The sequence below is a fragment of the Homo sapiens genome, chromosome 21, assembly GCF_000001405.40.
Source record: "Homo sapiens chromosome 21, GRCh38.p14 Primary Assembly".
In the NCBI taxonomy this organism is placed as follows: Eukaryota; Metazoa; Chordata; class Mammalia; order Primates; family Hominidae; genus Homo; species Homo sapiens.
The window spans coordinates 15,750,472-15,777,540 of NC_000021.9; the positions used below are offsets into that span (position 1 = coordinate 15,750,472).

At 36.4% G+C, this 27,069-nt stretch overlaps 1 protein-coding gene across 14 annotated transcripts in view, besides 2 other annotated features; it reads left to right on the forward strand.

Annotated features, from left to right (window-relative positions):
• The window catches only part of USP25 (ubiquitin specific peptidase 25), a 150,083-nt gene that overhangs the window by 20,490 nt on the left and 102,524 nt on the right, over positions 1 to 27,069 (forward strand). For 12 of the 14 annotated variants that reach the window (NM_001352560.2, NM_001388301.1, NM_001388302.1 and 9 more), the window contains exons 2-3: positions 12,420 to 12,497; positions 15,526 to 15,670. Coding sequence is in view for 7 of the 14 variants with exons in the window: in NM_001283041.3 (NP_001269970.1) it covers positions 12,420 to 12,497; positions 15,526 to 15,670 (223 nt within the window). In the remaining 7 variants the exon portion in view is untranslated. The remainder of the gene's footprint in view (positions 1 to 12,419; positions 12,498 to 15,525; positions 15,671 to 27,069) is intronic. The other 2 variants (NM_001388299.1, XM_047440745.1) reach the window with 1 other exon arrangement.
• Positions 2,472 to 3,097: an enhancer, noted in NCBI's record as "OCT4-NANOG hESC enhancer chr21:17125262-17125887 (GRCh37/hg19 assembly coordinates)". NCBI's record gives its function as "activates a minimal SCP1, AML or CMV promoter by ChIP-STARR-seq in naive and primed H9 embryonic stem cells {active_cell/tissue: H9 hESC(naive and primed)}" and the evidence as "EXISTENCE:reporter gene assay evidence [ECO:0000049][PMID:30033119]".
• Positions 2,599 to 2,893: an enhancer, noted in NCBI's record as "tiled region #8522; HepG2 Activating non-DNase unmatched - State 7:EnhWF, and K562 Activating DNase unmatched - State 5:Enh". NCBI's record gives its function as "activates a minimal TATA promoter and a strong SV40 promoter by Sharpr-MPRA in HepG2 and K562 cells {active_cell/tissue: HepG2 | K562}" and the evidence as "EXISTENCE:reporter gene assay evidence [ECO:0000049][PMID:27701403]".

Below are 27,069 nucleotides of genomic sequence, written 5' to 3' on the forward strand. Positions count from 1 at the left end.
CACCCGCGAAAGGCTCCCAAAGTGCTGGGATTACAGGCATGAACAATTGTGCCCGACCCCTTATATCCTTTTAATAAGTGTTCAGTAAATAGTAGTTCTATGATAATGCTCAGCGTATATGGTTAACTTTTTCCCCTAATTCTTTTTTTTTTTGAGATAGAGTCTCGCTCTGTCGCCTAGGCTGGAGTGCCGTGGCGTGATCACGGCTCACTGCAAGCTCCGCCTCCCAGGTTCACACCATTCTCCTACCTCAGCCTCCCCAGTAGCTGGGACTACAGGTGCCCGCCACCACGTCCGGCTAATTTTTTGTATTTTTAGTAGAGATGGGGTTTCACCGTGTTAGCCAGGATGGTCTCAATCTCCTGACCTTGTGATCCGTCTGCCTCCGCCTCCGCCTCCGCCTCCCAAAGTGCTTGGATTACAGGCATGAGCCACCGCGCCTGGCCCTTTTTTTCTCTTAAAACTGTAGAATTATATTATTAATACACTGTTAGTATACAGAAATTGTTTTCAAGGAATTTGTTTCAGGGTCCAGTGAGGACAAAGAAAGGACAAAAAGTAGAACAAAGGAGATTTGGTGTAAAGAAGTATTGACTAGGAACAGATGATTGGCTGCTAGAGGGTAAAGAGAACTCTAAAGTAAGAAATGAATTTGGGAGAGGCCCTTCAGAAGCCCCAAGACTCTGAGAGATTGGGTTCTTGTTGGAGAGGTTGTGAATGGAGCCCACTGGATGGCAGAGCAGTTTATAGAAGTGCTGTAGCTTGGGACATTCCTGCCAGTAGCTCTTTTGAAGTGGTGTAGAGTATGTGCTTTATCGTATCTAGATGAATGGAGTTTCCAAGAGACCATAGGACATATTATATAAGTAATTAGCATGACCAAAAACTGTATTTGCTTTAAAGAATTGTGACAAATATAACTGCTAGGAATTATATAGTATTCCAGTTTCAGAGTTCTACTTAGAGCACGTTTATTTTGTTTTATTAGTATAAGGGAGTTTATTTTTGGATTATAAGCTAATTAGGCAAACAAGTACAGAAACTAGAGATGCATAAAGATTTAATTGGACAAGAGAGCTATAATAGGAATCTGATTATTAGCATCAACAAGTTAAATACATATTTTATTTAAACTGCAGACATAGTGATTTAAGGATATGATTTGATTCATAAAAGTTTTGTTTACCTACTTGTTTTCCAGAATATAGGCACTCTAATTTAAAAACAGACTGTGTTCCAAAAGATTTTGCAAGTTGGGTTTTTGGAACTGAAAATACATGTTCCCATAGAAACCATGTTTCCTGGTGGTGTGTTCTTATTTAGAAATGTAACTCTGTGTGAACTTAGCTTATAGTGCTGAGTAACAGTATTTTTTGGGAGAAATACATTTAGAGTTTCTACTCATGATGTATTTATTTTATCTACTAATTAATAGGGATGGGGAATACTCTTTTACATTGTAATTAAAAAAATTTTTTTTAAGACAGAGATTTGCTCTTGTTGCGCAGGTTGGAGTACAATGGTGCAATCTCAGCTCACTGCAACCTCCGCCTTCTGGGTTCAAGCTATTCTCCTGCCTCAGCCTCCCGATTACAGGGATTACAGGCATGCGCCACCACGCCTGGCTAATTTTGTATTTTTGGTAGAGATGGGGTTTCACCATGTTGGTCAGGATGGTCTCGAACTCCTGACCTCAGGTGATCTGCCTGCCTCGGCCTCGCAAAGTGTTGGGATTACAGGCGTGAGCCACTGCACCCTTTTTTTTTGAGATGGAGTCGCTGTTGCCCAGGCTGGAGTGCAGTGGCGTGATCTCGACTCACTGCAACCTCCACCTCCCGGGTTCAAGCAATTCTCCTGCCTCAGCCTCCTGAGTAGCTGGGACTACAGGCGCCTGCCACCATGCCTGGCTAATTTTTGTATTTTTAGTAGAGACTGGGTTTCACCATATTGGCCAGGCTGGTCTCGAACTCCTGACCTTGTGATCCACCCATCTTGGCCTCCCAAAGTGCTGGGATTACAGGCGTGAGCCACTGCACCTGGCCCAGATGGGGAATACTCTTAAGGGTCATAAACATGATGCAGATATGGTTGAAAGGTTGGGTGACAGGTAGGAAAAAGGACTCTGTGGCAAGGGAGGATGGAAACCATCATTTATCTAGGACTAACTATATCCATTGTTCTTTGCTAGCTATTTCTCATAAAGTATCTCATTTCTTTTTTCTGGATTGCATGAATGCTTAATGTTTTAGCTCTGGAATTCTATAAAAAGTAGGAAGAGACTTAAAATTTAGAATTCTTGGCATTTTTAAGCTTTAATGGAAAGGGTATACCTTCAGATTTATGTGCCCATAGAGGTATATGAGTAATTTATTTTAATGCTAAAGTGCTGTTAATCCAAAAAGATTGAGAAAAACTTCAATCTGTGACAGTAGGATATGCAGCATACCTGAACCATTTGTTACCCGCCAAAAACTTGAAAACCAGGATTAGTTGCCTGGTGAGTAATAAACAACTCTTCAAGAGAATGCAGGTTTTGGTCAGTAGGAGTTTTACTACTTGTCACAAATAAGGAGAATACTTGGAGTATTCTTTAGGGCATTGTTGCCTCTAGGGAAAGTGACAGGGAGGTTTTATGGGGTGATGGAGAGGGGAGAGGGTGTGACATCACATGTAGAGGAGGGGTCCCAGTGGTGCAAATGCAGTGAGTCACTATGTCAGCAGGTAGGTCACGTGTTATGGTAATGAAGCTGTAGTTCCCCCCCAGGGTGCTGACTTTAGCATGATAATGAGGAAAGTTCACTTGGGTTCATCTGCATGTTGCGAGGGTCTGTCAGGAGCTGGCTCCAACTGACTAGGTGAGAGCTCATTCCTCACAGGGTTTGGGAAAAAACAGGTGGCAAGGTAGGAGGTTGTAAACAGGCCAGTTACTTAAGTTGATTAAATTCCTATAGTCCCGGGGGACCCTCCTTGTCTGCTTACACATTCATGGGACTGTCATATAGATTATTTGCAATAGGGAATTTCAGTAATATTATATTTTATACAAACCTTCAAGTGAGATTGACAGGACCAGAACTGGGAAATTCTAGATGGAATGTAGGAGTGTAGAAAGTTTGCTTAGTAAGTGGGCCTGACTTATGTCATTTAGAAGAATTCTTCAATTTAGAAGAATTAGAAAATGTGCTTATTAGTTGGCCTGATATATGTATGCTTCTCGTTCCTGTATGAGAGGGAAAAAAAAAAAAAGGCTTCTCTTTACCTTTCTAAGTTCTTTGGCTGGACTAGAAATTAAATTGACAAGAGGCAGATTAACAGGAGAAAACCCATTTTAATTACATAGGTACTTACAGGAGTCCCACAAAATAAGAGACTTGAAGAAGGGTCACATGATTGAAGCTTATGTAGCATCCAGAGCTACAAAAAGTGATAGGGGTTTGGGGCTTCTGGGAGGGGTGGCAACACAAGTTATGAGAGGGTGGGGGAGGAAATGTATGGTGAATAAAGGGTGTCTTGTGTAGATAAAAAGTCACTCAAGTAATAAAAGTTGTTGCAACCCTCTTGCTGATACAGATACTTTTTCTAATGTAGATTTCCTTTAAAAATGGATTTTTTTTCACAAAAGGACAGTTTTTCAAGGTTACTCTTGTGTCCGCAGTTTCTCAAAATAACTACCTCAAAATATGCCAAAGAAGTATATTTTTGGGTGGCATATTCTAGTCGCCTGCAGTCTTATTTGGAGGTGGTGTGTCCTGAGCCCCAGCATTCCCATCTCCAATAATTAGTTAGTGCCTCTTTTCTGTGGGATAAGCTTGTCTTGTGATATGGCTTGTTCCAGCTCACATCTGCAGGCTCTGCTGTATTCATTTATTCAGTCAATGTTGATTGCTTGCCATGTGCCAGGCATTATATGTATGTACCAGGAGTACAGTGATGAACGAATTATGGTCTCATTGATAACTTTGAAATGATTAACATTTGGTGCCTAGCAGTGCTTTAGTGCACGTGCTTCTGAAGTTTAAGAGTTCTTGTCGTCTTTGGATTTACCTTGTGATTAACCATAGTGTATTATTATAATTTGTGGTGAGTCTCACAGAAGGCACCTACATGTGCAGAGACCTTTGCATTATGAAGGAGAATGGTGTTCTGTAGACCCTGAATGAAAGAGAGGGAAGAGGAATGCCAGGGGGAAAGCAAAGCAAGTTAGTGCTGGGGACAGAGGTAGGGACTCTAGCATGCAGAGGTCCTTTAAGCTGTGAGGACTATACTATAGGAAAATTCCTCAGACAAGTCATAGAATATTACAGTTGAGGGAAATGAAAGATCCGGCTTACACATTAACAAGAAAAACATGACTCAGGAGATTTTTTCTTCTTCTTTGCTTTCTGGCTATTTAGAGACTGGTTTGGACTTACAAACATGAAGGATGTGTTATGTACTTGAAATTCTTGGACAGTGAGTATTAGAGGTTTCTTATGGTAAGAGAACATGAGCTAGAGCAGTGTAGTGTTAGCAGGTAGATGCAGAGGTTTTTGCAAAATCAGGTGTGTGTGTGATTACTCACTTTAAAGACAGTATAATGAATTAATCTTGTCATTGACAGGTAACTTTGAAATGCCTACATTTGGTGCTTAGCAGTGCGTGTGATTCTGAAGTTTAAGAATGTCTTTGGAGTTTCTATCAGTTTTTTTTTTTTCCTCTGTTCTTAGAAAATTTGGAAGGTTTTTTTAGAGGTCATTCTAAGAGTTGCGCCCCCCGCCTTACACCTATCCCCAAGGATGGAAACCTTTGACTTTCTTTTCCTGAACCAAGTTTCATTTATATTTGGAAATTTAGCTGAAGGAGCCAAGGACTGACTTAATGAGTCACCCACCGCTTAACACAAACTGTTTTTCTCCTTTGTTGTCAGTGGTGCTTTAGTTTTCTTTTACCATTTTATAAGTATTTTACATCAACATAATAGTGGATTTTTGCACTGAGTTTTCATTTTTTATTGAATCTTTAATCTCCAATGTTAGATATCCTAGAGTTGAGAAAATATGGCAAGGACATGGAATTTGAACGACCAAGTTTCAACCCTGTCTCTGCACTTACTAATGTCTTGAAGTCTGTGTTAGCTATGAAATGAGAGTAACTTTCTAGAGGGTGTGTGGGTATGTCTGTATTAAATGAGAGTATATATTGGAAACATTGGAAACAGTCTGGTATAGGGAAGTTTAAACCTTCACTCTGAAAGTTCGATTAATTGAGTGCTGAAATAAACTGACAGTAAACAGATTAGCAAGAGAAAGTGCATACAAATTTATTGACATGGAAGCATGGGTGGGAGCTACAAAAAAAATATGAGGCTCTAAAAAGGGCCAGATGATTGAAGCCTGAATCCCCTCTTCATAAAGGGAGAAGTGGAGGATGCAGGCAATTTTAGAGGAAGAGTAAATGATTTCAAGGGGAGATGAGTGTGCCTGAAGAGCAGACAATGACCTGGAACAAAATTCTTCCGGGCTCTGGGAGAGATGGTGGCAATTTTTTGGGAAGGTGAGGGGCAGAACTGTACTGCAAACAAAAGTTGTCTTTGTTATATAGATAAAGTCTCTGAGGTAAGAAATAGCCCTTAGAAGAATAGTCAAAAGAATAGGTGAAAAGTCTGTCTGGGTATGGTATGCCCAGGTGCATGGCAATTTTTAGTTTTCTTTCCTGCTATAGGAGTTAATCTTCTCTGGTTTATATAGATTCCAGGGAATTATCCAAGACAATTTCGTTCCTTCTGGATGAACGTCCCTCAGTCAGATAAGGGAACTTCAGAGAAAACCTCTCCCTGTGCTTTGGAAGGGAAAACGGGGAGGCAGGAGAATGTTGGAGAGAGACCTTGCTTCTGAGTCCTTTCAATTGCTTTTGTTCAGAGCACTCAGCAAGCCAGAATGCCATACTTTGGGGCATTGTTTTCGTAACCTCAACATTGATATACAGCAAGAGTATAATAAATTCATATTTTCTTGCCTTGTCTTGGGCCAGTGATCCCTTTTTTTGCATCCTCAAAAAGTTATACTGATGTTAAATATGCCCTCTTTACTGAAACAGATTTTAAAAATACCCAGCATTAAGTGGGGTCACCTGAGAAGGGAAAGAATTTCTATGAAACTCTCAGGTTTTTAATTTATATTGAAATTACCAATATTTCCTTATATCTGAAGTGCATAGTACTGTATTTTGCACATAGTAGACACTTAAGGATGTTATTGTGCAGTAAAAATAACAGGAAGGAATCTGAAGACTTGTAGGTAATCTTGACTTCTTTGCTTATTAATTTTTGTGGTGTTTGCAAGTAACTGAATCTCTTTGGACGTTGCATCTTGCCCCTTTGGTTTAGCAGTGGGAAGAGGTTGAACCCACCTCCCTGTACTTAACTAGAGAAAAAAAATCCATACAAGGAGCATCTCAGAGCCCAGAAGAGGAGCTCTAGATATGGAAGTGGATTGGATGGGAACCACCTTGGATTTGGAATTGCTGGTCAGGGAGAGGACCATATTTAGGACATTTCCAGTTGAGGATCAGGGCGTATCACAGGTCAGAAGTTTCATAAATGGGAAGGTACAAACCTTGAAAAACAGACTAGGGTCTTAATCACAACAGAAATGGCAACAAAACCCCCACATAATTGCAGGAAATGAAGGTTCAGGGTTTCAAATACAGGAAAAACACAACTGGAAGATGCCAGTAACAAAGGGAAAAAAACTTTGCAAATGAGGTGGCTTCTCTAACTTAAACTTAGGATTTTTCTCATTGCTCACCTCTTCCCATTTCTCTCTACCTAGGTTTAGCTAAGAAAATTCTTTCACTTTTTTTGTTTTCTTTTCCACCTGGCCTTCTCCCCGATCACCAGTTCTTTTCATTGTTTCATTTTCAGTCAAGATTTATGAAAACATGAACCATACTAGAGATACACCTGATTTTTTTCTAGGATATTTGTCTGAATTTATAGTAAAAGATAAAACAGCAAAATAACAGTTTCAAAGACCTTGCTCTTCTCCATAATATACTCAGTATTCTTATTGCACTTTATCAAACCACCATAACAAACCACCTCAAAACCCAGTGGCATACCAAAATATTGTCACTCACACTCACAGATTTGCTGGTTGGCTGGGTTGACTTTTTTCACATGTGCCTCATTCTTCTTAGGCAAGTGGGCTACCAAGTCATGTTCTTCTTAAGCAGGTTGCAGAAGTTCAACTGGGCTAGCCCAGCGATGCAGGTAGTTTCATGTCTGCTTGCATGCTGGCTGCTAACATGCCATTGGTCAAATCCCATCATCCATGACAAAAGGAAATACATCATGTGTGAGGAAGTAAAAGTGGCAAAGAGTATGAATACAGGGATGGGAGAATTGGGAGGCTAGCATAGGCAGTGTAATCTTTTCTGGGATTTATATTCGTGTTTGTATTTTACTTTGTGGTTATTAATTTGTGTATATACTATTTTGTATTCTGCTTTAGCGTAATGTGATTTTGTAAGGAAAACTTCTGTATAGATTATATATTTTTCACTTAAATAGTTGTATGTGTAACTGAGACTCTGCTTCTAAGTTGATCTGCATCAAAATCATTTGAAGTGCTTATTAAAATGCCGATCCCTAGACCTTAACCCAGACCCTCTGGAATCAATCTCTGGGGATGAGGCCTGGACATCTTCATTATTAGCAAACTCATGGAGTCATCCTTCTGTACATTAAAGTTTGAGAACTACTTTCTTAATGGAAGGACATGCATTTGTATTAGTCTGTTCTCACGCTGCTATAAGGACATACCTGAGACTGAGTGATATGGTTAGCCTTTGTGTCCCCAACCACATCTCATCTTGAATTGTAGTTCCCATAATCCCCATGTGTCATGGGAGGGACCAGGTGGAAATAATTGAATCATGGGGGCAGTTTCCCCCATCCTGTTCTCATGATAGTGAATAAGTGTCACAAGATCTGATGATTTTATAAAGAGCAGTTCCCCTGAAGATGCTCTCTTGCCTGCCACCATGTAAGATGTGCCTTTGCCCCTCCTTCACCTTCAGCCGTGATTGTGAGGCCTTCCCAGCCATGTGGAACCATGATTCTGTTAAATCTCTTTCCTTTATAAATTACCCAGTGTATTAGTCTGTTCTCATGCTGCTAATAAAGACATACCTGGGACTGGGTAATTTATAAAGAAAAAGATATTTAATAGACTCACAGTTCCACATTGTCAGAGGCCTGACAATCATGGCAGAAGGGAAAGGAGAAGCAACGGTGCATCTTACATGGTGGCAGGCAAGAGAGCATGTGCAGGGGAACTTTCCTTCACAAAACCATCAGATCTCATAACCCTTAACTCACTATCACAAGAACAGCATGGGAAAAACCCGCCCCCATGATTCAATTACCTTCTACCAGGTCCCTCCCATGACACATGAGGATTATGGGAGCTACAACTCAATGTGAAATTTGGGTGGGGACACAGCCATTTTTAAATTTTTATAATTAATGGCCATCAACATTTGTACAAATGACTGATTTCCTTGGGTACTAAGTAATTTTTCTCTGAGCCATGATTGAATAATTTTCAGTTGAGGAAAATAATACTTTATATATGAAATCAGATTTGGAGTGCTGGTAGCAGTGACATTACAGACTTATAAAAATTATAAAGGATTTTATATTAACTAAATGAAGACATTGAATTGAATAAAGATAATTTCTGTAAAACTTTTATGCCTTTAATTCGTAATGTTGGGTATTGCATGGCTTATTCATGATTCCATTGCTATTTATTAGTAATTTTCTAAATGAAAGTAGTATAAACCAAAAAGTATCTTAAGACAAGTCTCAATCAATTTAGAAAGTTTATTTTGCCAGGGTTAAGTACGTGCCTGTGACACAGCCTCAGGATGTCCTGACAACATGTGTCTAAGGTGGTTGGGGTACAGCTTGCTTTTATACATTTTAAGGATACATAATATATCAGTCAATTCATGTAAGATTCACATTGGTTCAATCTGGAAGGGAGGGACAACTCAAGGTCTGGTCACAGGGTGGCTTCCAGGTCATCGGTAGATTTGAATATATTCTGATTGGCAATTGGTTGAGTTATTATCAATAGAAAGGAATGTCTGGGTTAAGATAAGGAGTTGTGGAGACCTAGGTTTTATCATGCAAATGAAGCCTCCAAGTTGCAGGCTTTAGAGAGAGTAGACTGATAATGTTTCTTACCAGACTTAAGGTCTGTGTTTATGTTAATGCTGGAGAGGTATACTGAGGCATGTCTACCCCCCACTTCCAGTCATGGCCTGAACCAGTCTTTCAGGTTAAATTTTAGAGTGCCTTGAAGCTTCAGATTTTGTTTTTGGTTTACGGTATAAAAACTGATAGGTTTAAAGATAATTTTATTTTTCTCAATTCGGCTCTGTAAATTTGGCAGTTTATTCATCCATTTTGATACTTCCTGGCATTTTATATGACTTTGTTTGTGTACTTTATTATGTATTTTATTTTTAGGTAGCTTGGTTATCTCAGCTCTGTAAAACCATTTTTATGGAAGTGAAATTCTTTGGTGGCATGGCAGACACTGCCAATGCCTATCCAATGAACATTCTTTTCTTTTTGATAGCAGAACCCTGATTTCATTTTCACAGCAGCCTTTGCCCACCCAAAAAATTCATTTCCCAATCTCCTTTGCAGCTATGAGTGGCCATGCAACTGTGTTGTGCTTTGTGAGGCTTTTGTAAGTGGAAGTTTGTAGGTGGGGCTTGTTAAAGAAGTCTCATTCATTTGGGAGACACCTTTTGTCCTTTGCCCTTCTCTTTATCCTACCTAGAACTTGGACAGGATGATGGAGGAGGAGACCATGCAGTGACAAACATTCTGATGCATGTTCCACTTTAAAGACTTGATGTTGGGTGTCCCTACTAGGTCTGGACTGCCCATTGTGTCTTCTAAGTTAGAAAAGAAAGACACTCCAGAGTATTGAAGCTGCTGTTTAGTTGGGAATCTGTTACATGTAGCTGAATATAGTTTCTATCTAATACATATGATTTCTGTAAAAGATACTTGGGCTGCAATATCTCTTAAACCTTTCATGTAATTTGTTTAGGACTTTTTAGACTTCTGAAAATACATATTTTATACATAAATTGTCAAGCATGTTTTGAAATGCACATTTTACAATTTGATGTCAACAAAGCTGAATGCAGAACATTTTAAAACTTTTTATTTTGAAATTTCAAATTTAAAGTTGCAAGACTTAGTACACAGAACTTCCATAACTTTTTTTCTCCCCAAACCATTTGATAGTAAGTTGCAGGCATCATGCCCCTTTAGCACTTAAATTCTTCAGGATATATTTCCTAATAAAAAAGATACTCTCTTACTATACTGGAGTTATCAAATTCAAGAATTTAATATTAATGAAATGTCATTACTAAGCTGTGCATATTTATATTTCTCCGGTTGTCTCAATATCCTGCATAACATTTGGTATGGGATGCAGTCAGTTCCCCCTTTGGCTCACATGCTTCTTTAGTCTCCTTTAGGGTGGAGACTTCACCTGCTTTTCATGGCATAGACATTTTTGAAGATGATAGAATAATTATTTTTCACAGTGTCCTTCAGTTTGGGTTTGTGTGATGCTTCCTCAAGATTAGATTTCGGTTGTGCATTTTCGGCAGGGCTATCTCACAGATTATAGAGTGTCAGGAGGCACGCACTGCCATTTTATCCTATTATTGGTAATACTAACTTTGATCTCTTGGTTAAGGCAGTGACTGTCAGGGTTTACACTGTTGTTACAGTAGGTAGCTAGTCAGACATGAGCAGGGCAGAAGGGGGCCTCCCCCCCAGGAATGTCAGGCAACCATTAGGCGGTGGTCAGGCTGTTATTAACCATCTCTCTGAAATAATAATTGGTCGCAGCCGGTGCCAGGGAAAGGCAGTCTCCCAATAGATAGAAACACCTGAAACTGGTGATTAGCAACTTCCTGATAAGATTCCAGGATTTGAGTGAATGGGCTCAAGCATATATGCACTAAGAGGCAAAACGGTGGAGTTTAACTGACATATGACCTTTGTTTAGGAACACCCAACTGGTAAGGGAAAAACGCCTTAAGTGAGCACATGCACAATTTCAGTAAACACACTGTGCGTGCAGCCCCTCCCCAGTGCTGGCAGGCCACTGCACCTGTGGACAGCCATCCTGTAGGAGGAATCAGGGGAGAAGAAATGCAAACCCTGGAAGCATGCCAGTGTATAAAACCCCAAGTCAAAGGTCAGCTGTTCACTTGATCTTTCAAGTTGCCCGCTTGGCCCCCTTCCAAGTGTACTTTACTTCCTTTCATTCCTGCTCTAAAGCTTTTTAATAAACTTTCACTCCTGCTCTAAAAACTTGCCTTGATGTCTCTCTCTGCCCTATGCGCCTTGGTCAAATTCCTTCTGAGGAAGCAGGAAGTGAGCTTGCTGTAGACCTGTACGGGTTCGCCACTGTTAACACAATAAAGTTATTCTTTCTCCCTTTATAATTTGTGGAAGAGAATTTAAAATGATGTAAATATTCTGTTCCTGATCAAACTTTCATTCAGTAGTTTTATCATCCATTGAAGATTCCTGACTGAATTATTGCTGAGATAAATGTGAAACATCTTTTTAAAAAAGATTTCAATAGATCCTATTCTATTGACTAGGTTTGCTTTTCCTATCATATCCATTGTGATTTTTTATTTCATGGTACTGTTCTATAGTGTTGGGAACTTCAAGAAATACAGAGATGTAAGGAGGAAGTTGGTTTTTATTTAAGGGCCATCAGGGGAGAGTTTGATAGTGAAATCCTATCTCTCTACCTCTTTTCCCTTCCAGTACAATGCAGTCAATTTTATAGGCCAATAGCATATAAAGAACTGAAGCAAATGGGGGCAAATGATCTATTCAATTTAGAATCTTTTATGACAGATTGGACAGTGAAATGATCTTCTTTTTAAAGTAGATCTGAAGATCTCCGTGGTATAATTACCCACCGAGTTATGTCTTGCCGAAAGCATGTCTTTTCCAAAGGTGTTTCTCTCCTTGTGCTTACCATCATGGATAAGGCCCCTTTTCTTGTTAGGTGGCATAAATGAGGGGATGAAGAAAAGGACAGAAACTGCTAATTCAGTAAGACTTATTGGGGAGTAATGTAGAGAAGTTACCTTTTCGAAACGTGAGAATGAAATAAGGGTTCTCCACAGCATGATTCATTCTTTCTAAAAGAATGAAGTTGTTTGGCCTTTCTCAAGTTCTTTTTCCTTTTTTACTCTAGTTTACTTTATTCTGTTTTTTGTTTGTTTTGGAAAACCAAAGGTGATTTGTTTTCTTTTCCTAGTATATTTTCAGAGTTGAGAATATAATGATTTTGGGTTTTTCCTCCCTCTAGCACCAGCAGACGTTTTTGAATCAACTGAGAGAAATTACGGGGATTAATGACACCCAGATACTACAGCAAGCCTTGAAGGTATGGCCTCTGTTTTATGATATACAGTTTGTGGTATATGCTCATCTCTAGTGCGTATTATATTTGATAGTTGATTTTTTTTTTGGGGTATACCATGTGGTAGTTTTAGAGATACAGGAATGGACTTTGTAAAGTAAAATCCTCAGTTAACACACTGCGGTTTTGAGGATGTTAGCTTTCAGCAGTCTGATGTCCATGATACCTTAGAGTGACAGATAACCTCTTTCTATATATGAAATGCTTTTTGTGCAAGATAGTGGGATGTGAATCCTAATTCTAATGGATGGTTTTACTTACGAGCTGTGATTTTAGAGTTTAAATGAGGGTTCAAGGTGGGGTGTATTAGAGGATGAGGTGTAAGAGAAGGGAAAAGTAGAAAATTAATAGAAGTCTGAAAACTTACATTTTTCTTCTCCTGAGAAGCAGAGATATAAATTTGCACCCATTCAGCTAATTACACCCTAAGTTAAACATTCAATTTCAAACTCTTCAGTATAGGCAACAACTAAAATGTATCATTTTGGTCATATCTTAGTTGGACCTTCAGTTTCACATCGACATCCAAATGAGTCATATCATATGGATACTCACATTGAAAAAGAGTGAATGAAAGCTATTTAAGAACCAGAACTGTACAGTATTTTAAGCTTATTTGCATATTACTACTATAGGCTAAAAACAATATAGCATTTTTGCCACTGCAGTCATATACACAGCTCCAATCCTTTGGAACTTGATTTCAAGCCTAGAGTTCTTTATTTGTTTTTAGAAATAATCTATTAGATGATTATAATAAAAGTCATTATAACAATAAGTAGTACCGATTAAACATTTAGTACTACCAGGCAGTATTTTAAGTACTGTATGTGGGCTAGCTCATCCTAATAATAAATAACTCTATGAGATAAGTATTAGTTTCATCCCCTTTATGAAAAGATGAGCAACAGAGAGGTTAAAGTAACTTGCCCAGGATCACACAGCCTGTATGTGGAGAAGCTTGGAATAGAAACCAAGGCAGCCTGATCCCAGGTGCCACACTTAATTTATGCTTCTTTTACTAGAAGCTTTGCTTCACCTTATTCCCCCATCAGGAAAATCATGAAATAGTAGTGTTTAGAGCATTAATGCGGGGTGTATGAAGCCACTGTAAGTATTTGGAGAGGAAGCAGAAGTGCTATACCTCAATTTTTATGATTATGACGTTTAGATAATTGCTAGTCCCTTTTTATTCTGATAAATATCATTACTAAATTCCATGTTTGTTTTCAGAAACTGCCTTTTTCATTATGTATTACTGAGTGTGAGACCATAGCCTATCACCTTGCCAGGGTAAATTTGGGGAATTTGCTTTTTTTTTTTTTTTTAAACTTAGAAAATATGTAGCTCGAATGAAGTCTTATCCACATTTCCTTTGATAGAGGTTGTGTGAGCATAGGTATTTTTAATTTTCCAAAATTTTTGTTTCAGTTACCAGTAGCTAGGGGAAAAGAGTGTATTTAAACCTTAATTGTTGCCCATTATAAATACTGACGAGAAGTCTACTTTTGAGCACTGTAATGTCATTGATTAATTTCAGTACTTTTAATTTGAGAACATATTTTTAGCTCTAAAAAGTAAATGAACTTCAATTTGTGTAAATTCCTGCTGTGTTGTTTTAAATTATTATATGAGGTAATATATGAAAAACACTTAGCACATTTCTTGGCATATAGTAAGTGCTCAATAAATGTTAGCCATCATTATTGCGCTTTATTTTATTGTTAGATTACTTATTTAACAATAGTGTATCTTACATTTTGGATGAGTCACTTAGGAATCGTCTAATGATCATGACAGATAGCATTTTTGAAAGTGGTGGTGCCTTTGAAACTGCATCCTTACTCCTTTTGTCACTGACTGCTACAACTGGAATTGGGGTAGGTCTTGGGGACTTTATTCTGCCAGCTGCTCAGTCCTTAAATTTTGGAATCATCCTGATCCTACTTCTGTCATGTCCCACATTTAATAAGATAGCAATAATATTGGATGCTGTCTTCTGCCCTTTCTCTCCTCTAGTCTATTCTTAATACATGGAGTAAACTTTTTAAAATGTAAGTCATACTATGTCATTCCTTTCCAAAACACTCCACTGGCTTCTTATTACACCCGTGTGCATGTCTAAGTTCTTAGGGAACCTACAGAGCCTTCCATGTTTTGGTTTTCTGTTACAAAGATAGCTTCGTTGTGAATATCTGGGTTTCCTATGTTGTTTTGGTTAACTGTTTTAGAGCTAACGTTTTACTTGCTGTCAGTTGTGCAGAGAATATAAAGATGTAACTGGGCAAGTCTCTTCTCATTTTGCTGTTTTAAATTAAAATTCTTATTCTGGCATCTGCTTTCTTCTAAATAAACTTTAGAATAATTTTATTCAGCTATACTTTTGATGAGAACTATGCAAAATGTATCTATTTAATTTGAGCAGGATTGTCATCTTGACAGTATTGAGTATTTCTGTCTAGAGTTCTGTGTGTCTTTCCATAATTCCATATTATCAAGCCCTTCAGTACATTTTGCCATTTTCTTCCCATGAGTCCTTGACATTTTGCTTAAGTTTGCCCCTAAGTATGTATCCAGCACCCAGATTAAAAGGAATATCTTTTATTGTCCTTGTTTGTAGAAGTACTAATTTTAATACCCATTTTGCACTCTTTCGTATGGCAAGTTCCAGAAGACCTTTTTTAGTTTATTTGTTCAAAAGTATAAGTTTGTGATTCACTTTTATTAAGCAGATAGGAAAGTAATGAAGACTAAGAAATTAGAGATGGATTTTTACATTGTATCAGTAGTTTTAATTAGTAAGAAAGGTATTACTATTGATATAGTATACTTTATGTATGATGCATTTACACTATAAAATTAGAATCACATATAGATTAATTGCAAATTTAAAGCAATTTTGTTCTAGAGAGTTATGGAGAATATTGTATAACTTTTTTTGATGGATAAAATTATTTCAAAACACTTGATACTCCTTTCTTGATATTTGAAGGATAGTAATGGAAACTTGGAATTAGCAGTGGCTTTCCTTACTGCGAAGAATGCTAAGACCCCTCAGCAGGAGGAGACAACTTACTACCAAACAGCACTTCCTGGCAATGATAGATACATCAGTGTGGGAAGCCAAGCAGATACAAGTAAGTTTTCTTTCTTTTCTTATTATTTTAATAGAAACATACTGAAAAACTTTTCTTGGTGTAATATATTAATGTTGCTTAAGGAGAGGTAAAGAACCAAAAAAGAACTCTATTAACCTTGGTTCTTTTTAATGTAGTTGAAAGGAACATACATTATCTTTTTCAGATTATAAGGAAAAGATTTTATGTAAGTTATATAGTTTTTCATAGAGCATTTCATATAGAATTTATTGTTTTGAAATATGGAATAGCTGCAGATATATTCATAAAAGGAAGAACTAGAATTTTTAGTGGGCACAGTTATTTTGCAGATTTTAAGTGCTGGTAGAGGCTTTAGTATTTCTTTTGAGGTTAAAGTATTATTTCTAATTACTGATAGGTTTACCATTTAATAAAATTTCCCTTCCCTTTCCCCCTGCTTCCAAATAAAGCTTTGGCAAAGAAGTTTATTATTGTGTAATGAAATTGCCTTTCATCCAAAAGAAAAAAAGAAAAGAAAACTTGGAAAAAGTGTTTTGGAGATACAAATACGTACATGTGGAAGATTCTATGTGGGACTTAAGTTTTTCTTCATAATATGAATACTTTATACTTATGTAGCGCACAGTTTTTCAAACTATGTTCAGTTACCTTCATATCTCATTATAGTTTAATAATTGTACTACATAAAAATAGTTACTTTTATGCCTTATGGATTTGCAAAGTTTGATTATTAACATATATTTGGAGAGAATTTCTTATTTTGTTTATAGACATTCTCAAAGTTAGGAAGCAACCAGAAAAGAGTTCGTTTACATAGATGTTTATTAATGTTTATTGATAAAATATTTTAATTTTTAGTTTTCAGGATAATCTTAGCATTTTTGCTACATAGATGATCTTGTGTCAGAGAAAACTAGAATACTCCTGTCTCACTTAGTTAATAGGTGATGGGAGAATGTTTGTAGCATATATAAGATAGACCTGTTTACTTAACGTCTAAGTTCAAGGCAAGCTGTGACTGGGCCCCCATCCACATTTCTAGCCTCATTTTCCACTGTTTTCCTCCTGTCATTCAACACTGTGATAATACAGAATGGCTTGAAGTTCTCATGTACTCAGTGGTATTTAATTTCTCTGTCTTTACATTTGCTGTTCCTTCTGTTTGAATGCACTCTGGCCTTTTCCTCCCTAGCCTAATTTGTTCTGGTCTTGAAAGATTTAGCTAAAGAGCTGCTTGCTGGAGAATGTTTTTCCTGGCCTCTAGCTAGGACCAAGTGTTTCTCCAGCATCCAGGGCATGCTTCTGTCTTAATGAATACTCTGTTATTTTGAAATTATTTGCTTGAACATTATTGGTGCTCAAAAAATGTTCACTGAGTTATGTTTGATAATATGTGCAGTAAAGCTCTTTCAAAACCAATGAAAGGGAATGAAGTTGAGAAGCTTGTTGCAAAAAGTTGAAAGAGAAGTGGTATAAAGGTCAGAAAAATGAGTACTTAATAATATTTTGGATATTTCAAAGTTCCAAGACTCGAGGGGAAAAAGAAACTAGATGGGTGATAAAAGGGAAAAGGATAATTTTGACTAAAATGCTCCTGGTTTAAGTGAAGCAAGCAGGAAATTGACTAAACAGAGATCATTGTTGTTAGTTGTGAACTCTTAATATAGATGGTATACTTGGTGACATGACATGGTATATTTATAGAAAAGGGGAAAATTAGGATTATGTGTGTCCTGCACAAAAGAAGATATTTGCTGTGCAAAGTGAGAAAATACTGCATAAGGCAAATGGTTACACCTGTTTACGATTTTAGATAGGGAATAGTGAAAATATTATGGAGGACAAAAAAAAATTTTGAATAGGTTCCCTTAGGGAGAAGGCAGCCTAATTTCAGGAGGCACGTGTCTCATTTGCTGATAATTAAAACTTTTTTTGTGTGTTTGTGGATCTCTTGAAAAATATTCACGAGGTAATTTTATTTTCCACTTGAAATAATGTAGAGAAATGAAGTTTCTGATGTCATCTCAACCGATTGTCATATTGAGTAAATTGCTTGCTGTTGTGGTTTCTTTATCCATAAAACACATAATACGTAATATGTATCAAGTGCTTTCCCTCTAATCAGGGTGCCAATTGAGATAGTGTGTCCATAAAGTTGGTTAGAGGTTATTGACAGCAAACAGTTGTAGGAATTTAATGTGGCAATTGTACTATGATAGTATCAAACCAGAAAAAAATTAACTGTTGGCGTAACAGTAATACTTTTCCATTAAACATTCCTGCCAGTAGTGTCATAATGCAGTGTTACTGGTTTAAAACTGAGAAAGTGGGGAGATGTCATGCATTTCAGCAGGTATTAAAAAAATACTCTTTAAGTGACTGTGCAGTTACTGTTGAGAAGAAATGAAGTCGTGTATTTTTAATTCTTGGAAGATGTGGTAAAACATGAGGGAAGGAAAGACAAAATAATTACAAATGGATATACATTCAAATGCAGGCCTCTATTTAAAAAAATCTACCTAACTGCTGTAGGAATGTAGAAGAATAGATCAGAGTGTGAGTTTTCAAGGGATTGTTGTAGATATAAAAACCCTTTTTGAGCACTTTCTCCATTTTGTGTGAAATACATTGTTATTTAAAGGTTGACCACAGTTTCACTTAATTCTTTCAAATATGGCAGGGATTTTTATTTTCAGTTTTTTTCCATTCTTCTTTTTGAGGTATAAAATCTCTTAAAACCAGGGCTAAAGCAGAAACAAAGTCATGCTAACTTTAAGTGATACACTTGGTTGCAGTGCTGACAAAACGTCTGTCTTCTGAAATCGAAATCTCTAATACCAAATACATATACCTCTTTGTTGATATTAGCTGGAATATCACTGTTTACAATGGACTGTTTCTTTTAGAAGGAATAAATTTTTTTTTTGCTGACTAGAAAAATTTAGTTTTTAAACTAATATCACATGGAAGTTATATTTGGGGCATATGGAGAAATTTTTGTTTATGCATACCTGGTGTGTCAGAGGCTAAACTATATTATGTCACTGGATTTGAAAAACAATTTGTGAGCCTTCCTTTAATATTGAAGAAGTAAATATATTTTCAATAGTTAGTAGGACAATTATATGCCTTTTTGGTGTACTTTTTACCTTTCACTTTTGAGAGAAAAAGGAGACATATCAAAGAAATCTTGTGCTCTGCATAAAAAAGAATTTAGAAGTCGTACACCTCATGTCTTTACTTGATTACATTCCATACTGTAATTCTGTTGAATTCTGGAAAAAAGCCCAAATCATTTGTACTATAATTAGCAAACGTACTAGGTAACATTTTTTATTATTTGGACCTCTGTTCAGATCAGATCAAATATTATAGATTGTCAAATGAGTGCCTGTTGTCCCTGGCTTAAATTGAGAATAAAATTGTTTTGGAGTTTTGCTGTCAAAAACACAAATGAAAATGAGACCAGGACACGATACCCGGTATTGAGCATTATAGGTGTGATTAATAGTCAGAGGAGAGATTCTGCCAAGTTTTTGTGTCACGGCAAACTCTGTCATAGACATGACCATACAGCTCTTTTGCCCAATTTGAAGTCTAATAGTAATACTTTTTATTTTGTGACCATTAAATTCTTTCGAACATTTTTAAAACAGGAAAAAAACAGTATATGCTCTCCAGAACAAGATGTGCTACAATTGAGCGATCAAAAGATAAGAGGGATTTGGGTAGGTAATTTTAACACAGAAAGTAATGCCACATATTGACTCAAGTTTTAGAGAAATTGGTATAAGACTTGAAATGAGTGACAGGTGGTAAGACTCTTCAAAAATTTATAAGCCGTTTTTTTTTTCTTTTTTTCTAAAACACCTTGAATTTGAAAAGATGGCATAGAAAGGGAGAAAAACCTTGAGGTTCTATCCTAGAATTCTAGTTATGGCTATCTTGCTTGGCCACAGTAATAGTGATTTAAACTGTGATAAATAGATCCAATTCTAGTGCTTTTATTCTTAGGATAATTCTCTTATGCTAAACAGTTTAGGATATTGTTAATTGAACACTGATACTTTTCCCATTGCCCAAGTAACTTCAGTTTTTCCCTAGAAATTTCTAATATGTAAAACGATTTTTGATGACTCACAGAAAGTCAAGATGAAGCCTAAAAACTGAGATGCTAAATGGTGTGAAAATTAGTTCCAACTGATGGGTGCAATTAGGAGCTTCAGATTGATTAGATGCATTTTATTAGATATGAACTGTAGAATGACTTGTATAACTTGATGAATTTTCTTTAGTTTTGGGTTAGAATGATAGCCATGGTCTTTGTACTTTTGTTGACTAACATGGGAGATTAATTTTACTTTTTTTCACAATAAAAATTGAAAAACATAGTAGAATTAATGACAAAACTCTGGAATGACTCCCTTACTACTTACTCATTTTCCTTGCTTACCACTGCTGCCACTGTGATTTTAGCAGCTATTATTAAAAACAGAACTAGACCATTTAAAGCTGAGCTGTTCAATATAGTTGCCACTAGTCACACATGGCAATTAAAATGAAATAATATTGAAATTCAGTTTCTCAGTTGCACTTTAAATGTTTAATTCTGGTGGCTACCAGATCAGTGCACATAATGCTACATTTCCATTATCACAGAAAGTTCTAATTTACAACACTCTTTTAAGAGAATCTGAGTTTAACAGTGAGAATATTGAAAGAATAGGAACATCTGAAGGAAGCTGAAAGCAAGGGAAAATGGGAGAGTGGAGTGGGAAACAATTTATATTGTTTATGTCTTCTGGCTTTTAAGATTCTTGCAACATGATACCTTACTATGCTGTCTGCCCTTTCACTTGAAAAAATTTTGAATATATAAAAGATATGTTCTCATCTTCTAATTAGTGCCATTATGAAGATGACTCACCAGTTTTTATCTCTATTCTGTATTTCTTTAACAAATATTTATTGTCTAATATGTAGCAAGTACTTTTATAGACCATTAAGAAAGCATGCAGAGCCTCAGTTTACATAGAGGAAAGACAGTACACAGTAAACAAACAGTATCAGATAGTAATAAGTCGTTCATGAAGAACAGTAGACCTGGATATAGACAAAGAAGTGATGGGGGTGTGCTTGTGGGCTGGGCATAGGATAATATGTGATTTTAGGTAGTGTGGAAGAGCTCATATTTGAGGAACAGTAGACCTGGACATAGACAAACAAGTGATGGGGGTGTGCTTGTGGGCTGGGCATAGGATAATATGTGATTTTAGGTAGTGTGGAAGAGCTCGTATTTGTACAGATACCTGAGCGAAGTGTGAGCATGAACTTTTGGCTCTCTGAAGGTTGTGCGTCCCAGACCAGGGCCTGATGGGGCAGTGTGCTGGCCCTCGAGATGAATAGTGAGGACACAGCCTTGTTGAAGCTGAATGAGCGAGGGTAGGAATGGCAGTATTCTCGTTTCTGATCTCTTGCTGCACATCCTGATGTTCATATTTGCCTTTCTTTCTTAAGGGTATTTCCATTCTTCTGGTGGTCCAGGGTATTTTTTTTTTCTTTTTTTTTCCTTTTAATAGCTCTTCTGTCAATCTCCCAAAACAACCATTTGGTTTGCAGATCTGTCAGTTTTTGTATGTAGACTTTTCCCTTCAGTTACTCCTGCCCTGCTACATATTCTTATTGCAACGCTTCTCAAACTCTTCACTACCCAGTTTTTTTCTGTCTTGCACTCCCTTGCTTAGAAATCTTTGCTGACAGTAAATATAAACTTGGCTTATTTTTTTTAAAAAAAGTATTTCCTCTTGGTTTAGCCTGTGTAGATAAGGAAAAACAATGGAAGAACTCTTTTTTTCTTCTGAATTCAAAATATTTACATATATAATAGTTCAGCTAGATTATGGGCCAACTAGGCTTTTGTGAACTTACTTAGAAACCTGAGGTTCAAGTAAGATTCACTTACATAATTCACGTTCCTATTTAATATAATATTTTCATGGGAAAGTGAATTATGAGTTATAAACAATGCATATATTTTGTTTGAAGTCTAGTTCATTGATAAGTTGATGACTAGCATATATTTTGGAGTTAGCAGAGAAATGTTTGGTAGTTGGTGTATAAGTTTTACTCATGGTATTCCTTTGTAAGTGAAAGATTTAGTAGGATGAGTATCACGTTTTGATATATATTTCTCACTTTACAGGAAAAATGTTTTAATTTGGACTCTCATAAAAATGTAGATTACTGCTTAGATGCATTTGTAACATGATTTTATACAGTGGCACCCAGCTAACTGTTCCCATGTGTGTGCTGTTGAATTGTATTCACGCTAATACTAGAGGGAGAGTTGGTTAAAAATAATGTTTTTAGTGTTTTACCAAGGTCTTGCCTTGACACAGATATGAGAATATTAATAATGCTCTGGCATTGAGATGGAAGTTTTACAAAGGCTAATTTTCTGTAACTGACTTTTACCAGTTAGAAGTTGTTTATAGCCAAAGTTATTCTGTTTCTTTTGTAAGCATGTGAGAATATCTGAGCGCTAGTTTTTATTATAAATTGATAATTCGTTACATGTTTTACACAAATCATTATTCCACTAAGTCCAGAAAAAGAATAAATTGGGTTTAACCAGTCTGTTGAAATAACATTTTATTTTCTTTTACTGGTCTTAAAATCATGTGAATTTGGTATGTGAGGTATCTTTCAGGATTGCATTTGATATGTGAGGCATCTTTCAGGATTGTATGTGTGGACCGTATGTGAGGGATCTTTCAGGATTCAGCTATCTTTCAGGATTGTCATATTGTTCTAAAATACCCTGTGAAAAGAAGCAGTTTTATGGATTAATAGGAAGATCATGGAAGAAAATTGTTACAATTACAATGAAATTAAAATAATAAGTAAACCTCCTCCATTGCTTAAAGGAAAAAGTCCCAGCTTTTCAGTTAAGGATTGTTAGTCTCTGGTCTCAACCAACTTTTCCAGCATTAAGGACTACTATTCCTCTATACCAGGGATTGGAGGCTCAAATTCCCAGCTGGGGTACAGGTGTGCCTATATGCTGAACCCTCCGCTATTGGAGATGCCTGGAGTGGCTGGAGCCATTTAATATGGTCGTTCTAGCCACAAGCAGCTTTATTCTTTTACACCCATGTGAGGTACAAGATATGCGAGGATGCAAGGGCAAGGAAGGTAATGTGAATGTGTGTGGCTGGCCAAGTTGGGGGCGGGGGCAAAATGAAGAGTGAATATTCTATCTAAAGAGAGCTGCTACTACTACTTTTATTACACTCTGGCTTTGTCACAATGATTATTGCCATGCAGGAATCGTGTAACCAGGTCTTCTGGTTTTTTTTTTTCCTCCCAGAGCGTGAGGGAAGTAATACCTATTATTGTACACATACAATCTCCTAATCTTTATCTTTTGCCAGTTATTTCAAAAAATTTTGAATGACATTGTAAAAACCAAAGAAAACCATTTTCAATTATGATTTGTTTCATAAAAAACATGTCTAAGAACATGGAGTAGATGGTGATTCTTGTTATTTTTGCTCTCAGGACCCCTTTACACTCATAAAAATTATTGAGAACCTCAGAGCTTTTGGGTACATAAAATTTACTATTTTAGAAATTAAAACGGAGAAAAGCTTAGGCTATTAGTTCATATTAAAATGTCAGTCTATTATGTTTGAATAACATATTTTATGAAAAACACATTTGCTGAAACAAAATGGTTAGAAGATTACGTTGCTTTACATTGTTGCAAGTCTTGAATGTCTGCCATATTAGAGGAGAACTAGAGTCTCCAATGTGCTTCTGAAGGTTTGCATTCTATTGCAATAAGTTGTTTTGGTTGAAGTTTGTGAAGAAAATCTGGCTTTACCCAGATAATAATTTAGAAAAGGGAGGAGTATTTTAACTGATAATCAGATAATAATGGATATTCTTTTTAATGCTATACCCAAACTTAACAGATGGTAATTTCTTAAAGATTAGTTGCAATGTGGAATTCGAAATCACATCAGTTATTCTATGGTGGTATCAACAACCTTTTCATGTTATGTTGCATTAAAATCCATTAGTGTTTCTTGCTTTTTGGATGGATCTTTTACCCATGCATGAGTTTGTAACACTGTGCATTGGTAATTTGAAAAGATTTCTTTTTAAATGCTTGAAGAATGTCTACTATAAGAAAAAGTTGAATTTGTTAATATCACCACTCATATACAAGCCTTTAAGTATTGAGAAGATATCAAGCTCACAGTGGTAGAAACAAGTTTTTCAAAGTTTAGATTTTTGCTTGAAAATTCCATATTAATCATTGTCAACAGATACATTTGTTTTCCTTAAAGCAACAGGCTCACTTTTTTTTTTCCAGACAACATCTGCCAAATACTGAAGTCTGAATAATTCTAGTTTGTAGTTTGTTAGTTTTTCTTTTAAATAAAAATTGCATTCCATGGGAAAAATCAGTTTAGCTTGTAACTCATTTTACACTAGTTGTTAGCAACAGCATACTCTGGATATATCGCAGAAGTACTTTATGTGTACTTCTTATGTTAGAATTAAACATAAATCAAGGTTTGAGGTTTAATAAAATTAGGTTTAATCTTTTCGCCAAGAACATAATTCTAAAAGAAACTGGCTTGGCTTCTGTTTAAAACAGTGAGTGTGTATATTTGTGACTAATACAATGAATTATGCAACTTGGTGCTGCTGCCTTGATTTGTGCTAAGATGCAGCAGTTTTATTCAATATCGTTTTGCATCATTGGTGCAAATGTGGCTACAGTACAAAAGGCAAATAATATCTGAGTAGTATTATTTTTTTATTTAAGGACTTTCCTCCCTTTTTTCAAAGGGGCCCTGGGGACCCCAAGGATCAATGGACCATATTTGAAGAACTGCTAGTAAGGCAGAAAGACCACTGGATTTAAGAGTTAGAAGACTTAAATTTTGAAGCCTGTGCACCATTCTCGCGTCTTATGATGTGCTTCATTTCTCAGAATTTCAGTGATTTCATTTATAAAATATATTTGGGGAAAAAACATCTTGTTTTTTGCTTTTTTGTTGCTTGAATTACAATTGATGAATTAGGAAAAGCTGTAAGTGTAAGTTGTTGCTATTTTTAAATTAGTTTCGGCTATAGCCCATTTGTTTTACTTGTCAGTCATGATACAGTAAACATTCTAGAAATTTTCAAATAAGGAATTTAATACAGGGGATTAGGTTCTTTAAAAAATCACTGGAAGGACTGGAGGAAAGCTCTAGCTCAGACTTCTGAAATGACTCCCACATCATTGCAGGACTGACCAGTCAGGGAAGCGACCAGTCAGGGAAGCGGCTACTTCTGTCACAATTAGGAAAGCGGCCTCTTGGACTACTGAGTTCAAGAACATACTTCTATAGCTGCAGCCCAGGAAACAGGAAGCCAGGATTAGGTACTGCCTCTGAGCTATGCCTGGAAATTGGAATGCAAAGTCTAGTTGCCGCTTATATTCCATCTCTTGACATTCTTAAAGCTGGAAATTGGAGCCTGGAATACTGTGGAACAACTTAAATCTTTTCAATCAAGCTAGAGAAAACAGCCAAAGGCAACAGGATAATGGTTGCCACCCCCCCCCCCCCCCGCCCCCGCTGCACTCTGCCTTCCATGTCTCGTGTTAGTGCATTCTAATGGATGAGGCCTAAGTTTCATCCAAAACCCTAACTGCCAGTGAATAAGGAAGATAGTTTTTCTGTTTTTTTTTATGTTTAGTTTCTATAATTGAAGAAAGTAAACTTAAGAGAACGAGTTAATGGAATCTGACCGCTAATTAATCACACACCTAAACCCTGTTTTTCTGCTTCTCTGTGATTTTCAAATTTTTTCCACTTTTCATTATCCTTTCTCTACTTAGACCTAAGTTCTAGCCATTTTAATAACCAAGATAGCTTTCATTTTTATGAGGCATTCCATACCTTTTTAATCCTCACTGCTTCATCAGTGTTTATGAATGTTCAGTTCTGGGTTACACTCATCTTCAGCTGTGGTCTGGGTGGACTTGGATTTTGTAACCAGACTTGTAAAACCTTTGGCCTGCTGTTGCCTGTAAAGTGATTCACCATTTCAATTACTATGCTATATAAATCTTTCACATTTTACTTGCCTGTATTTTTGGGGGGCCCTACTTAATACACTTTTGTGAGGTTTTATTATACTCTCTAAAGACATTAAAAAAAACACCACCACTTCCTTCCATGATCAGGTATTCTTTCTCATATTTTAAATCTTCTTACAAGCTACTATTTGGAGAACGTGTGGATAAAAATAGAAGTAGACTCTGGAAAATATCAATATACATTACTTTTTTTCATTAAATATATAATATGCTTTTCTAGTATTTATGTAAAACCTTATAGCCATATGGTAAAATAAAGCCACCTTATCCTCCCCATCCTCTATCCTGTTTGTTTTTTTTTTCCTCTTCTAAAATTGTATGATTACAAAGAAAATATTTTTAACATGTCTAAAATACACCAACCTGGGCAAGACGCAAAACCTTGTATCTACAAAAAATTAAAAAGAAAATTAGCCAAGTGGTGCATGCCTGTAGTCCTAGCTACTCTGGAGGTTGGGGCGGGAGGATCACTGGAGCTCAGGAGTTTGAGATTGCAGTGAGCTGTGATCATGCCACTGCCCTCTAGCCTGGGTGACACAGTGAGACACTGTCTCTAAAAAATAAAATTTAAAATAAGCAAATAACTAAAATGAAGGCAAAACGTGTCCAAAATACAAATAAGCATAATCCCAACCATGCAAAGATAATAACAGATAGTTTCTCTTTCTGATCATATTATTTTGTAACCTGTTACCACTTCCCTACTTAGCAATATACCATGGTTTCTATCACTGTTGAAATGATAATGGGAGTATTTATCATTGGCATCATCTGGGTTAGGGAAATTGACCAATATATATTGGGAAATTGGATTAAAAGTCATTTTTATTGAAGGCGGTATTAGTTGTAACCTTTTTTGGAAAAAGAATTAATACTTAATAGCATCAAGGCTATTTTTTATTAGAAGAGGGCTTGTTTCATTCACTTGTATATTTCATTTTTGTGAAATGAGAATCTTGTTTTAAATTAAAAGGACTGCATATTTATTAAGCAATTCAGATTGTATAGAAGTATTTAAATAGAAAGTGAAAGATTCTTATACTTCTTCCTCCTATAACTCCTTTCCTCAGAGTTAACCACTGTTAATAGTTTGGCACATTCTTTCAGAATTTAAAAAATGTATGTGTAAATGTACATCTCTGGTTAGTTTCTGAAACATCAGTTTTTAAGAGTTCACTGTTAATTATTGTAATTTGATAATGTCTAGATGGTAGTAGTATGGACAGAATTTAATACGTATGTAATCGGGTTAACT